At 36.3% G+C, this 15,781-nt stretch overlaps 1 protein-coding gene across 8 annotated transcripts in view, besides 2 other annotated features; it reads left to right on the top strand.

Moving 5' to 3' along the window:
* Positions 1–15,781, top strand: part of ZNF385D (zinc finger protein 385D) — a 960,546-nt gene that overhangs the window by 294,661 nt on the left and 650,104 nt on the right. The gene's annotated exons all lie outside the window — the stretch shown is intronic.
* Positions 1,492–1,661: an enhancer, noted in NCBI's record as "experimental_68318 CRE fragment used in MPRA reporter constructs". NCBI's record gives its function as "activates a minimal promoter by MPRAs in K562 erythroleukemia cells, with activity observed for the non-introgressed 3:22118019 variant allele {active_cell/tissue: K562}" and the evidence as "EXISTENCE:reporter gene assay evidence [ECO:0000049][PMID:34662402]".
* Positions 12,213–12,382: an enhancer, noted in NCBI's record as "experimental_68298 CRE fragment used in MPRA reporter constructs". NCBI's record gives its function as "activates a minimal promoter by MPRAs in K562 erythroleukemia cells, with activity observed for both the introgressed and non-introgressed 3:22107298 variant alleles {active_cell/tissue: K562}" and the evidence as "EXISTENCE:reporter gene assay evidence [ECO:0000049][PMID:34662402]".

The following is a 15,781-nucleotide window of genomic DNA, read 5'->3' as shown; positions in this document are numbered from 1 at the left end:
GAAGGAATCCGGGGAAACTAAAATGGTACTCACAAATTTCAGGCATATTTAAGATAGATTGTCTTCAGTTTTGAAATCCAATAAAAATACATGATCTTTATTTGGCCAACCCAATTTTTGTCTTTTGTCTAGGACTTTTCAGGTTGTCAGCCATCAGTGCAGATACTCCACAGTCAGGTTTCAGGTATCAGACATGGAGTGATTGAGCATTTTCTACAAGTGGAGTGGGGGGTGTCTCACATGGAAAATGAATAAATAGTAACCTATCACTAACACACCTATTACTTAAAATGATGCTTTAGACTGACATTCTGTTTCTCCCATTTCTTTTGTTGTTGTTAGAAACAGCTTCTAAGGTAGAAATTATGTAGGCAGCTACAACTGCACTCTAAAACATCTGCCGAGAAGCATCTCTGTATGAGGGAAATCATTACATGTGAACCAAAACAATAGCAAATATGTGCCAAAAACATCAAATATTTATTTGATTCTTTCATCAAGGAAAGTGTTAAATAGGAAGTCTGCTTTGCATTTAGATACAGAACCTCACCCTTAGTGGGCCTTTGCTAAGACAAAAGAAGACCAATTTCTGGAATAATCTATTGATAAGAAATCTTGCCTATTTTAGTTGTGCCTGAACTGGACCAAATTACATCAGCATAGATGATGTATTTAGGTAATGACCAATGTTGGACAATTTTAATTTCATTTTCTCTTTTGTGTCTAGGCTTATTTTTCAATTATTCTACCTTTACCACCAAAAGATGCTCTTTTGACAGTGGTAAAACTAGGCATGGAAGAAGTAGAATTTAACCAAAATTCTGTATGGGAACATAATCTAGTCCAGGAAAATTTATGCTTAGTGCAATTATACAGTAAAAGAGTAAAGAAATGAAACATTCATATAGTCTGAACAAAAAGTAGACATCAATACTGAACTATAGCAATACCTCTGCTACATAATCATTTACTAACACTGTTAATGCTTTTTATTATATATATTTTTAATTTTCCTTAAATATGGTTATTATGGGTATTAAGGTCTTGTGCTATTTCTGAAAATAACTCACACTTATTTTTAAAGCATGGCCTCTAACCAAAGAGTCCTTATAAATTGGAAGGTGGCTTTTACATATTAATATGATTAAAAACGTGTTACTCAGAGGTAGATGAGTGTTTTTTTCACATGTTCATTGTTCTATTCATCTGTTTTTCTGTAATTACTTACAGTCATACAGAATTTTAAAATGGATAATTTCCTAATCAGATCTATGGAGAATATGATCTTGAACTTCAAATATTTTGTCCAAGAATAAGTCACTATATTTTTCAATTTGTTATTAGAGACAGAAGAGTAATTGGTGCACAATCCTAACCCGAATATAAAATGCAGACATTAAAAAACAAGTATTGATCACTTACTCTGGACTATGTTCTTTGACAGATACTAGGGATAAAACTATGAACCACAGACGTGTCCTTGTGCTTATAGTCCAATTGGGCTAGGAAACATAAACAATTACAAATAGATACGTAATTGTAGTTTGTGATTATATAGTAATAGAGACTGTGTTATAGCATAACACTGGAGGACCAACTTTAAGTGGTTTGGTTATGGGAAGCCTCACTTTTGGGAGATGAATCTTAAGCTGAGATCCAAATGATTAAAAAATAGGATGTGGGGGAATATTCATTAAAAAATAAGCCAGCTAATGGGCCATGGGAAATATTCATATGGATAACTGAAAGAAAACCAGAGAGACTGGACCGAAGTGACCAAGGTTGGGGAATAGTGGGTAGGACATGAGAAGTCGGACAGATAGAGACCAGGCCACAATAATGGAGGATAAAGAATGTATCTTTATTGTGAATGAAGTGAGAAACTAATGAGGACTTTTGAATTGGTGAGTTACAAGATCTGATGTAGATTTGCAAATGATTCTTCTGGAAGTTCAGTGGAAAATGGAATGAAAAGGAGGCAAATTAGAAGTGAGAAGTGAAACTAAAAGGTGATAGTCTACGTAAAAAAAATTACAGTAGTTTAGACTCAGTTGGTAATGGGGGAGACAAAGCTGGATGAATTTCATATATATTTTGCAGTTTGCATTTGTAGGACTTGCTGTCTTTTGGGCATGGGGAATTAAAGAAGCGAAGAATATCCTCACCACATTCGGAGATTGACATCCAACTCAAGGAACTGGATGGATTATGATGGTATTTACGAAGTTTGGGAAGACAAGAAGAGTTATAGTTGAACTCATTTATGCATTTGAAGATAGAAATGTTCCTGCGGTTTGCAAAGGAGAATAGGAAATGCAGTTAAATATTTGAAGCTAAAGCTCAGAGAAAAATCTGGGATAGATGTGAGAGGGTTTTTGTAGATAATATTTAAAGCCAAGAGAATGTATCAAAACTTCTTTGGAAAGAAAGTACAAGAAAGAAAAGAGAACTCAAGCATAAGCCTTCAAGATCTTTAAACTTTAGTAGTTTAACAGAGAAGGACAATCTTACAAAAGATGGTAGAAAAGAGTGGTCATTCTGGAAGAGAAAACCAGGGGCATGAGTTACATGAAATCCAAGAAAGAAGATTTGTTAAGGAGAGAGTGGGAAAGTGAAGAGGGATGATGAGGGCAGAGAATCATCATTTGGCTCTGGCAATATGAAGTTCATTGACAACTTTTGCAGGAGCATTTTCAATGGAGTGTTGAGAATAGGAATCAGATTAGAGTGAAATTGAAGAATGAATTGGGATGAGGGAGGAGAGGTGATTGCACATTAGGCCTCTGGAGAGGAATCTTTAGGGAAACTGGAAAGGAAAATTTTTTAAGTTAAGTGATTAGAGTGTGCATCTAAACTGAAGGGAATAATCTACTGGTGGGAATGAGATCAAAAACATAGGAGAAAGGCTATTACCCATAAGTGGTCTCAACTCTGGTATCACGTTGAATTCTTTTGGAAAGATTTAGAAAGTATCAATGCTTGGGCCAATCCCATACCAGCTAATCAAAATCTCTGGAGTGGGGCCTTGTAATTAGTATTTTTAAAAAATTACTCTGCAAGTTTCAAATATGTAGTTAATATTGAGGGCTATTGAACTAACTTAAATATGATTCTCAAACTTTAGAATACCTCAGAAGCACCCCCCTTTTCTCACCATCATTTCTGATTCAGGTTTCTTGGTGATGGTGACGTTGCTCATGTTGAGAACCACTGAATTAATAGAATGAAGAAAGTCCACATGAAGATGTGAAAGGGAAGGGTTCCAGAGTTCAGTGAAAGGATGTACTTTTGACAGAGACCCACTTCATCTATTATCATGAGAAGGGAAAGTGATGATGGAACAAGTAAGATTGAACAGTGTCGGGAAGACCAGGGTATGAGTATTTCAATGATGTATATGTGAGGTTATCAAATGACCCCTCATTGGAGAATGGGAGCATAAAAATTTGAAGAATGGAGGTTTTTTCTTATATTGTGGAATTAAACAAACTATGGAAATATCATAGAAATACCAGGCAGTATCAATATGAGGTTTGAATCAGGAATTTTAAAAAGGGAAACATTCAGGCTGCTTATATAATTTTCTCTTATGATAATCAGAAGTAACCAATATGCAAGATTCATGTTCAACTATCATTTATTAGTAATTTTCTAGTATTAGGCATTGGGCTCAATGTTTTTTGCTTAGCTCCACCCATAGAAAAATTAAGAGTTGGCTTCTCTGCCAAGGGCTGGATGATAGCAAAGGATAGAATTACAGCTATTGAAACACATCAAAGGCTGTTTATGGTAACTATGTATCTAATTATTTCTGCATCGACATAATCAATGTCTTCACTCCAGCTGATCATTGTGGATCAGCTTGTCTTTGCCTTTTCTCTTCAGAGCAAATGAGCTGGCACAGACAAATTGCACAGCTGTTGACACTTGTTTCTGTAAAACCCTTTGGGAAGTTCCCTCTAGATGTCTTCATCTTACAGGTACACAGAAAAAGAAAAAAAGTATCCTGGGAAAATATTAATGCTTCCAAAGTGTTACTTAGGGTACAGAATAATCAGAAGCCAAATTTTAAGATCCCTGGACATATGAAGAGAACATTAAGACAATGTACTTTAGTATAAGCAGAAACAAGGAATAGATTTTTAATAATGATGTTCCTTTTAATACATGAAGATAAACTGCCCTTTTAAAGGATGCGAAACTATTCATGAATGGCATAAAACAATCGTAAAGGCTGTTTTATAAAAGAGAAAATGCTTCTCAGTATAAATAAATAACCTCTTTCTGTATTTTTTAAAATTCTAAAAATAGTATGCTTTTACCTATTCAGAAAGCATCCAAATGTATTCTTCAATTCAGCAAACAGTTCTTAATACAAACTGTCCAACCCCCCATTTCTTTAATTCCCCCTACAATCTTGTAAGATAGGATAGCTGGTACTATGCTCCTGTTACAGACAAATATAAATAAAAATAAAAAGCCTAAATTATTTGCATAATCTCATAATTCATGGCATAAATGAGGCTAGAACCCTTGCTTTTTTATTCCTTGCCAATAATTTTTACCCTAGAAAGGTTGTTGTGTATGGCTTTTTACACTTTTTAAAAATAAAGCAATTATTAAATTTCAGGAAAGATTAAATTTCTGGAAGTTTAAAGTTCTTTTCCCCTAAGGAATAAAGCAATAAATATGGAGAAATGATGACATTTTACCCTCTCACCCACCCCACCCTGCTTCAGAGGAAATTACACGAATTTCCTTTTTTTTTTTTTCACTGTCTGTTTCTTTTTCATATAAAACTAATTTTAACCTAAAGTAATTTAGAAAATAAAAAGCAGGAATCCAAAAGGGAAATCTTATTAGATTTGTCTGCAAATGATGATTTTAATTAATTATTTGGGACTTAAACACAGCAAAGGTCTAGATTTTGACCAGAACTTAGCTTTGTTTCAAGCAGGTAAATTCTGAGGGCACCTTCAGCCTTTCCAGGACTGCTTGTCTCTGCCCTTATGGATTGCTACATTTTTCCTTCTGAAGAGCTTTCTAGTTTAATGGTGACTTGAGGTGTTTGGAGCTAGAAGTCTGAACTTCTGAAAAGATTGAAAGTGCCTGGAAACCATCTGAGAGGCAATCCAGTCAAGGTGGCCTCCCTTCTCTATGTGCTCAGGACAAATGCTTTTCTCTTGGCCCTGAATCTTCCCGGGAATCTCAATTTCAAATCAAACAGCACAAGCTCAGGGAAGAATATGTATTCTAGGACACTAAGAATCCAGTCCTTACCTTTCCTTTTGTTCTGTTTCCTTATTTCTTCTGCATTCCCTTTTTCCTTCCTTCTCCCAACCTTCAATATTTCTTCTTTTTTCTTCCTTGTCTGACTTTACTCGTGTCCTTCCCTCTTTCTCCCTTTCTCCCTCTTTCTCCTTTTCTCCATTTCTCCATTCCTTCTTGCCTTCCTATCTAGCATTCTTTCCTTTGATTCTTTTTAGTTTTGATTAGGTAATATAACAATATACCTTAAATTTGAAAATCATTTTCCTTCCTAAAAATTGCAACTCTATAACCAATCTCCATAGAAGAAAAGTTAGTAAGTATAATACTTCTTTCAGTACCAGCTCTTCAGCAAGCAGCTGACGAGTTCTAGTTCTAGTGATTCTTGATGAGATTGTTTAGAGAGTGCTTCATTCTGCTTGAAGGACAGATGAAGCCTCTTATATAACCAAAACATTGAGTAGTTTAATAATATGGTTACATTTTTTTTTATTTTTCCGTTCACAAATAACTTCCAAGAAGTATATAATGCCAAAGTAAGGTCACAGCATCTGTTGTACATGGCTTTCGCCCATGTCTAGTTCAGGAATTTTCCATGCCCAATTAAGAAATTCTATCCTTTTTCAGATTCTGCTTGCCACAGGATGGCTTTAGTCACTTTCTATAAAACTAACTTAGAATAGAGGTGTCTAATTTATAATCTCATGATTCTGTTTCTTCAATGCCTAATTTCATCATAGTTACTAATATGGATAAATGAAAGTAATGCTACAATAAACATACATGGTGGGTATTACAGGTATAAATTATTGCTCATCTCAAGAAAAGAATTATGTATCTTTTTTTCTGAATTTGACAGTTTACTTCAGGTTTCTTGGTAAATAGAATGAGTTACCAGACCTTGCAAGACCATTGTATTAATAATCTTTGATTTACGTCAAGACAGTTTATGATGGGGCCATCATCAAATGCCCCAGCCACAGATGGCAGAGCAAAAAGAGTATGATTGCTTGTCTTAGGCACTTAACTGCATGGCCAGGAGGAGAAAACTAGATTTAGGCCTTTTACTAATCTTGTTGGTGTCCATAGAGAAAAGATAGTTTTGGTAATTCATTCTTCTTCGTCTTCTTCACATTCATCTGCCACCCCAAGAAAATGTGAGCTTACTCAAATAATCAGGGATATTTTCTAAGTATGTTGAAATGTTGAGCTTACCCATCATATAATTTTTATTCTCTGCAATATTACAGGGAAAGTGAGGAGCATGTATGGAGGAATGCATAAAATTAACTTCAAAGGTGGCTCCTTAGAGCAAAGGCCAATGAAGGCAGGTTTGTAGTTGATTTAATCATCAGAAGTGCAGTTGAGAGATAAATGTCAGCAATTTCTTTTCAATCACCTAGTGACCTCTAGTATGAAGCTGGATAATATTTTCTTCCTCAGGTTTCTGGAAAAATCTCTTTCTTGCTTTGGGAAAAATATTAGGCTCTTCACTGTTTAGATAGGTTGCTGTATACCTTGAATGTTGCCAAGATTTCAACTTTGGGACAGAAGCTTGATAAAGATGATATAGAGATACTGAAGAATGAGTTGGAACCTTTGGGATATTATTTGTATGTCAAATATTATGAATTTAGCTTTTAAAGAGAATAAGAGAAAGCTAAGTTGTAATGCAAACATATGCATTCTTTATTGCTGTGCAAAGCCAGGCACAGGAGCATTCTGTATCCAGGACTGAGCTATGTCATAAATATCATGTTACCTTTCTATTTCAAAGTGTTCAGTGCATCAATATTTTTATTCTTTTCATAGATTTGGCAACTGAACAGGTAAAAATCTTTCAATTTTGGCAGACTGGAGAATGCCGTATTCTTCCTAATATTGGTTAACACCTATACTGTTAATAAGACTATTTCTTAAATATTTCAATGTAGTAAGTGCTTTCTGAAGACAGAAGAAAACTTAACAAAAGTGATTAAATTGAAGCCAGTTGAAATTGTAAGCTGTTTATAAATTATATCATTGGAAATAAACTTGTTCATTAATTTTAATGCTTTCTGAGATTTCATGACTTACTTTCACAACTCAGGATATAGATTCCCCTTACCCTTAATAAAGCTTCAACATTATAAAATTTGAAACTTTGTTTTTTTCTTCAACATTTTTATTTACTATTTTCTCATGTCCTCTACCCTGGACTTACTATAGTACTTTCTATGACTAGAACAGATGTTTGTCCATTTGAAAATAGTTTCATCCTTTTATAATCTTTCATCACAGTGTGTCCTAGGATGGGAAGAACTTTCATAGAAACCTATTTCACTTTCCTAAGTGAAATTTGAGATAATGAAGCAAGTACTCAACTCTCTCTTATAAAATACAACAGAAACAATTAGCAATGTCTACCATATAATGACATATTAAATATAAAGCTTTACAACTTAGGAATGTTTTTCTTGAAAGCGGGTTACTTCATAGGCATCCGTTTCTCTGTAGTATATATTGCTTTCCTTTCATGTATATATAAAAGGAAATATATGCATATAATTATAGGTGATGCCACTTAAAAATAAGTGGACCTATTTCTTTATCCAGGACTTAAATTGTGCTTTAAGGGGATGGGGCCACTGATTTAAATTACAACATGTGAGTAGATAATGCTTGTTGTTAGAAAATAAGATGCTTATCTTTAAAGTTCTAAGTGAACATTTGTGGGAAATTATTAAAATAGGAAATTAATGTGTTTTTAATTCTAGGAAAGGGCCATTTTCAATGTCAGCATACAATTCAGAATTTAGACAGTTAGTGACACTAAAAATAAAGTACCAAGAATAGTAAAGTAACAAACAGCTTTATCTTATTTGCCTTAGCTTGCTTTCTTTCTGAAGGTGCTGCTGAGAGCTTGGCACTCTGAAACCCATTCTGTAGCAGACAGAACCAGCAGTAAAGCAAAAGGAGACATAGAGCAAAGGAAGGTACCTGCCTACAGTGGGGTTTTCCTACGTGGCTGGCTTGGGTCTGACTATTTCATGGGACAGAAGAAGAAAAGCAATAGGGCCATGTGGAGGAGTCCCAGTTGACTTATCACTGATGTGCACTTATTACCTTCACATCTAAAAAAGGGCCCAGAATCCTTGAGTTTCATCTTCACTGATCCTTTTCAGGGAAAATGATAGAATGAAGAGGTCATTGTGGAGAGAATGTATTTATTCTTAGAGGCCAAAAAATTCCACTAGATACCATTCTAAAACACAGATATACTTATGCCATCCTTTTGCTTCTAATAGCTTCAGTTTTTCAAAGAGTCAAGTCCAAAATGTTAGCATGCCATTATTATTGTTTATGTTACCTTTATATTGCCTATGCACTATACATTCACACCCCTCGGGGTTCTTGTTTAATATATCATTTCCTCTCTCCCCACCCCGAGGCCAACACTAGTTGTAGTGCCTACCCAAAAAGCATTCTGCATCCTTCTCATATTCGTTTTATTCTACCAGGAGCTTGATTTGTTTGGTCATTGGTGAGAGATCTCTTGTGGTGAGGGTATGTAGAACCATTTGCCAGTTCCAAGAGATTATCCATCATCACCCTGAGCCAGTCACTGTGATCTCATTTTCTCAGACCCTGTTGGAGCTGGGAGTAGCCAGTACTAACCAATGAGATATAAGGAGAAGTTAGTTGGGAGAGAATCTATTAAAATGTTAATTTTTATAACACAACAAACACCTGTAGCTAGCCCAGATCTTTATATCCTTTTACTAGTTGAACACATATAATTTTAGAGATGTGGCAGCCATCTTGTGACAGTAAAACACTGAGCATGAAAACAAGGTTAAAGCTGAGGGTAAGGGAGAGTAAAGATAGCACCTGGATATGTAATGTCATCTGGAAGTGTCTGTACCAATCCTGAGACACCTTCCTCCATATTTATTGTTAAATTGACTTTAAGTGTCACTGTGATCTGTGCTACTGTTATTTGGGCGGGCCCCATGTTACTTGTTGCTAGAAGCATTTTCTTCACAGTTGTGCATATGCCAATATTAATGTAATGTTTTTCTTCACGTGTCAGCTGTAGAAAGTTATCAGTCAGAGTTCAATCAGGGTTTAACTAGGAGTATGTAGAAAAAGAAATTTATTATGAGAATTAGGCCTTTCACATATGTGAGAGGAAATGTGGAAAAGAAGAGCCAAAGAAAGATCAAAGAAATGTCACTAAATAGACAGAGTGTGGATGGATCATGTTGAACCTGTAGGAAGCCAGGCAGATCCAACTGCTAGGAGAAATCCTCAAAAGAATATAATAAAAAGTTTTAAATTGGTAAAGTGAATTAGTAGAGCTTAAGAGGGAAAGAGAAATGGGGTGTGGGGGAGTAGACAGAAAAAGAAAAGGAAAAAGAGACATTCAGATGTCTGTTTACTACACTTGGATATAGGACTTAAGGACAGTATCTCGGGTTTTAATGCTCATGAAGGGACAGGCGGTAAAGTGTAGCTCAGAGTGTTAAGCTGGAACTAAAACTGATGCAAAGTATCAATTCGTTTGAAGAGACACAGTATTACTAGGTGAAAAAAAGAATAGAATTAGCATCACAGTGTCTAGTGATAGTACAACTGTCTGAAAGAGCATCTAAGAGAACAATGTTACAACTAATAAAGAAGATAAAGTAAGGCAGATGAACCGTAATAAATGACTAAGACCTTCTCAAAGTTACTGAATTTTAAATTTTACTTAAATTCAGTTAATTTCTATTTCAATTTCAAAAGCCACAGGTAACCAGTGGCTACTGTATTGATCAGAGAAGTCTTAGATTTTTTTTTTTCCAGTGGAGTCTTGCTCTTTCACCAGGCTGGTGTGCAGTGGCGTGATCTCGGCTCACTGCAACCTCTGCCTCCCGGGTTCAAGCAATTCTCCCGCCTCAGCCTCCCAAGTGCTACAGGTGTGCCACCAAGCCCAGCTAATTTTTGTATTTTTAGTAGAGACAGGGTTTCACCATGTTGGGCAGGATGGTCTCGATCTCTTGACCTCATGATCCGCCCACCTCAGTTTCCCAAAGTACTGGAATTACAGGCGTGAGCCACCATGCCCAGCCAGATATTTTTGTATTTCTAAATAGTTGTAGAATAATTGCTTCTTTCCCTTATATAATTTGAAGTTCTGGGAGAAAGATATCCTTTCCCATTAAAAAGTTGATTTGTTTGTATAATAACATACATCAGCTGTGAACATTGAAGTGTACCACCTCTGAGTTAACTTTAGTGTTATGAATCATTAGAAAGAGAGGAAATGGGATATACACTTCTGTTTTGTCATAGCTTAAAAGATGATTTCTAAGCCTTTTCTGAAGCTGTTGCCAACTCAGAAACTATATTATACAAATCTATAGTGACTTCATTATCTGTTACCTGTTATTGCCCTGCTGAGCTAAAATAAACTGTTGCATTATGTGACCTATAAAATGATATTAGGCATTTTATTACTTGCTTGCTGTCAACTTGAACATAAGACAGTTATTAAAGATTACACTGAGAAGATTGAGAGTACTACAAATGTTATTTTACAGAGATGACAGGTTGCCCTTAATGTCTCCAGTCATAAAAGAAAAGAAACTGGATAAATTTGAAGCCAGTGATATAAACTCAACAGGCAGTGTGATGAATAAAACAGAGACACAAGCAATCTTTCTTTCCATATTCTCTTTATTTTTCTAATGCCTGTACCATTACTTTAACAGCTTCTAACTAATGTAAATTGGAAAGGAAGAACATTAAAAGAGTAATTCCACTGAGGAGAGAAGATCGCTTCTTTATAGTCACATTAGGTGCCTGAGCGTGATCTAGACTTTCATAATCCATTGCTGACTTGATGGATGTTAGAAAGTAGGGAAACTAAACAAGAATGGGGTACTTCTGATTATAGGCATCATTGATTTTGATGAAGCATTCAGCGTAGGTAAAAGTTATTTAGCAACCTGGATTATGTTTTCAAGGAAATATATTTTCAATTTCTTTTTCATGTGGCTTACTCTCTTCCAGAAATAGACACATCTCAGGTCATGAACAACCAACTAGGAAACATCCAGTAAATGTGAATATCTAAGTGCACATCACTTATCTTCTTAGCAGTAACTTCCTAACTAGATTTTCCTCTTCTAACCTTGTTACTGCCTCCTACAACACCAAAGCTGCCCTGATCTTATAATTCTCACTGGTGCACAGATAGGGAACCATCTCACCCAGTATCTTTTTACTTACACACACACACACACACACACACACACACACACACACACACACACACAGGGAACCATCTCACCCAGTATCTTTTTACTTACAGACATACACACACACACACACACACACACACACACACGGGGAACCATCTCACCCAGTATCTTTTTACTTATACACGCAGACACACACACAGGGAACCATCTCACCCAGTATCTTTTTACATACACACACACACACAGGGAACCATCTCGCCCAGTATCTTTTTACTAATACACACACATACACACACACACACTCCTTAGCTACAAAGAAGCATTGTTTTCCCCTTTCCTTCATTTTTTGGTCTTTCCAAACTACACTTGTTTCATAAGCAGTCTCTCTTTTCTTTTCTGAGCATAACTTTTGACTCTAATTTATTGAATGAACTGAACACAAAATATGCATCAGAAAAAAAATGGTATTTTTTTCCTCCTATCACATCTTTCAACTCTTCTCGGTTGGCTCCCCTTTCCCTGCTCATTGACAACATCTCTGGAAGATACAACAGCTCTTTTGTCACTTTCAGTTGTAAGAACGGTCTTATTTTTTGATAATTTTCACTTTCAGGAATAAATAATCCTTAGGTGGTCCAGTGTCAAAACTGAGCCTCAGATACTGTTCTCCTCACTCCACCTGGCCAATTTTAGTTGGGCTGTGATCCGTGATGTCTTTATCTTTATCTCTTTTCCCTTCTGGATCTTCCAGAATCAAAATGAGGAGATAAGAGATTAAAAGAAAAAGACAAAACATATTTTATGACTTACACAATTTGTGGCCACTGGTGCCCTTAAGTCATGATAGACATTTATGTGCTGGTTTTTTTATGCAGTGTGTGTTATGTTCTTTGAGAATACCATTCCCCCACAGCACACACATACACTTTTAGATTATGGTCCTGTGTATTTGCCTAACTGAACTCACCACTTGCGAGCTCCACACACTCAGTCCTTTCCTCAACAAATTGATCTTTTCACCATGCCCAATTTCCTCTTGTGTAAGGATCCCATCAAGTGAGCTCACATCTGGATGCTATTGTACACTCACCTGGCAACTCTGCCCCACTCTAACATGAAAGTGTAGGGTGCAACCTCTTGTTGCCCCTACCCTGCCATTGTAGAGAGTTCCAGCTGCCTTCCATCTTGTGTGTTTTTTAGAAAAGCAGGCATCATTCTTTGCAGTCAAGTCCCCAGCACTGTGTTGGCATAGATTGGACTATTTTTGCAGCTTTGCAGACATCTGTCTAGCTAGGACAGCGAGCTAGATGAGAGAGAGATGTCCATCTTGCTTTCTTAAAAGTCCTCATTCTCTATCAGTGCTTCTTTTGGCAAATCTGCCCAGTCCTACGAGGAGAGCAAGAGAATAGCCACACAACACTCTCTTTGAGTCTAAGACTTACTAACTCCACACTCTCTCAATAAGTTCATCTTCTGTATTAAGTTATTGTTTATGTTTCTATTTAAAATCAAAGCCAGGAAAGGCTAACTAATTTGTTTAAGGACTTATAGCTAGTGGGTGGCATAACTAGGATTTGAACTTGTATTTCTAAAGTTCTAAAGTCTATCTTAATTACAACATTATACCGTCATAATATAATTTGTGCATGGCTAAGTCAACCATGCTACTGATACATTAGCTTTAAGAAAACATTTTTTTAAATATACAATGCATTGTTACTTACTGTAATCACCATGCTGTGCAATAGATCACTAAAGATTCTTCCTCCTCTCTAACTGAACTTTATACCCTTTGATCATCATCTCCCTTTTCCCACCCAGGACTCTGCCCAAGACTCTGGCAGCCACCATTATACTACTAATGACTTCCACTTTTTCAGGTTCCATGTATACGTGAGATCATGTCATATGTGTCTTTCTGTGTCTCGCTTATTTCACTTAGCGTAAGGTCCTCCAGGTTCATCTGTGGTGTTGTGGATGCCAGGATTTCCTCCTTTTATAAGGTTGAATAGCAATCCATTGTGGATATGTACCCCATTTTCTTTATCTGTTCATCTGATGACAGACACCTGGATTGCTTTCCTATCTTAGTTATTGTGAATAGTGCTGCAAGGAACATAGGAATACAGATATCACTTTGGCCTACTAATTTTAATTTTTTGGGGTATATATCCAGAAGTGGGATAAAATTTTTTAAAGAAATACATATAAGCAACAAATGCTCTGCTTTCTAACAGTTTTTGAAGTTGTCCCAAAATCACCATGCAAATTATCACAAAAATCTCTGCTCCTCTGTGCTCTTCTAATTAAATTTCCTACTCCTTAAACAACACCATTTGTGTTAGAGAATCTCTTTTGACCCCTTCGGAGAGGATTACCCCTGTATTGCCTGAGCAAACTGTCATGGCTTCTCCTGAGCTAATCACCATGAAAGACAAGACTGAGTCTTCTGAGGACCAACAATTCCACTTCTCTTGATTTCTAGCCCTATAACTAGACTGAAGTCCTAGCAGTCCCCTAAAGGTGAGGTACAAAGTGTGAAGCATGAGGTGCACTACAATAAAAAATGTCACAATTTGGATTCCTTGGGAAGCAAATTCTGAGATGGATATTTGCTTACAGCAACTGTATTGGGGCATGCTCTCAGGATTAATAACTGTGGGTTATAGGGAAGGAGGAAAGACTGGGCAGATGGAAAATCAAGGTGTCCTGCTGTCAAAACAAAGGCCTCAGCCAGCCCGTAAGGAGCTCTGGAGCTTGGATAACTCTTTAGAGTTGTACTTAGTTGGAGCAAGGAATCTGGACACATAGCTCCACATGAACCAGTGAAGGTATACAGGCTGCCCAGGGGAAGAGGGTGTGACTTTGGGTGAGACGCCTATTTTCAGCTAAGTATAATTCTTGGAGAGGACAGAGAGCTGAGGGCTATCAGCACGCAGCATGCCTAGCAGCTGGGGCATGAATCCTTCAAAGAGGACCTGAGCACAGCATCCTCTACAAATATATTACCATATCATTAGGGTTATTTTTGATTTATTTGTAATGTAACTATTGTTAGGGACTTTAGAGAATTTAATAGGCTTTAGTGGGCTTCTCAAGTGTTATACTCATTTTACATGGAAGTTTTATGTAAAAATCTATTGAATATTCTAAATAAATTGCTTGCAGATGAAATTTTGTATCATGATACTTTTAGAAACTAGGCTCTCTGTAACTCTGAGGCTTTATTCAATTTTTATTAATATTTTAAGAGAAGATTAATCAAAATGATGTATGTTTGTTGGTTTCTCATTGATGAAAAAGGAAGTAAACCAAAATTAATCAGACAATGTTCTAGGAATTTTTCACTACAATAAATTGTTTAATTTTTTCAGTAAACCAGTGAAATAGATAATATTCCCATTATTCAGATAGAGAAACTGAAGTTCAGAAAGGTTAAAAAAATTAACCAAAATGGCATATTGGCTGATTCAGGAATGTCTTCTTTTAGTGAGAAAAGTACCTTATATCTCTGTATTAGTTACACATTGCTGCATAACAAATTACCCCCAGATTAATGGATTAAATAAAAAAAAATTATCCCGTGTAATTTCTGTGAGTCATGAGGCTGAGAGTGTCTTGTTTGGGTGGTTCTGGCTTAGAATTTCTCCCTCTGTTGTAGTGGAGACATCACCCAGGCTGCAGTCATTTGAAGGCCTAACTAGGGCTGAAGGATACATTTTCATGAAGACTCACTCATATGGCTGTTTGTAGGAGACCTCTGTTACTTAGCACATGGTATTTCCATATGGCTGTGTGTATGTCCTCACTGCATGGCAGCTGGCATCTTCCAGAGATACAGCAAGGAGAAAGCTGCAATGTCTTTTATGACCAACTCCCACAAACCATACATTGTTAATTCTACTACACTCTACTCCTGAAAAGCAGGTCACTAAGCCTGGGCCACACTTACGTGGAAGGAAGATAGAGTGCATCTTTGGGGGCGAGGGGGTCAGAATTTGTGGGTATGTTTTAAAACCACCACAATGTTAAATATTTTAAAGTAGCATGTATGGTTACTTTTCAAATTTTGATCACAAGTTAGGCTCACTACTAATTGAAACAACTTTCATGATTGCTGCAAGAAGCAAGTCCTTTATATGGCAGTATTTCCTTAGTTATGAACTTAGACTTGCTCATTTAAAGTGTTATAAAGTAAAATGAATGTTAATTCTTCCACTTAGAAGAAAGATTATTTTAAAATGTACCAACAGGCTGGGCGCAAGTGACTCACGGCTGTAATTCCA

The sequence above is a fragment of the Homo sapiens genome, chromosome 3 (genome assembly GCF_000001405.40).
Source record: "Homo sapiens chromosome 3, GRCh38.p14 Primary Assembly".
NCBI classification, from domain to species: Eukaryota; Metazoa; Chordata; class Mammalia; order Primates; family Hominidae; genus Homo; species Homo sapiens.
Note: the sequence above shows the minus strand (reverse complement) of the source record. Positions and strands in the feature narration are given on the sequence as shown.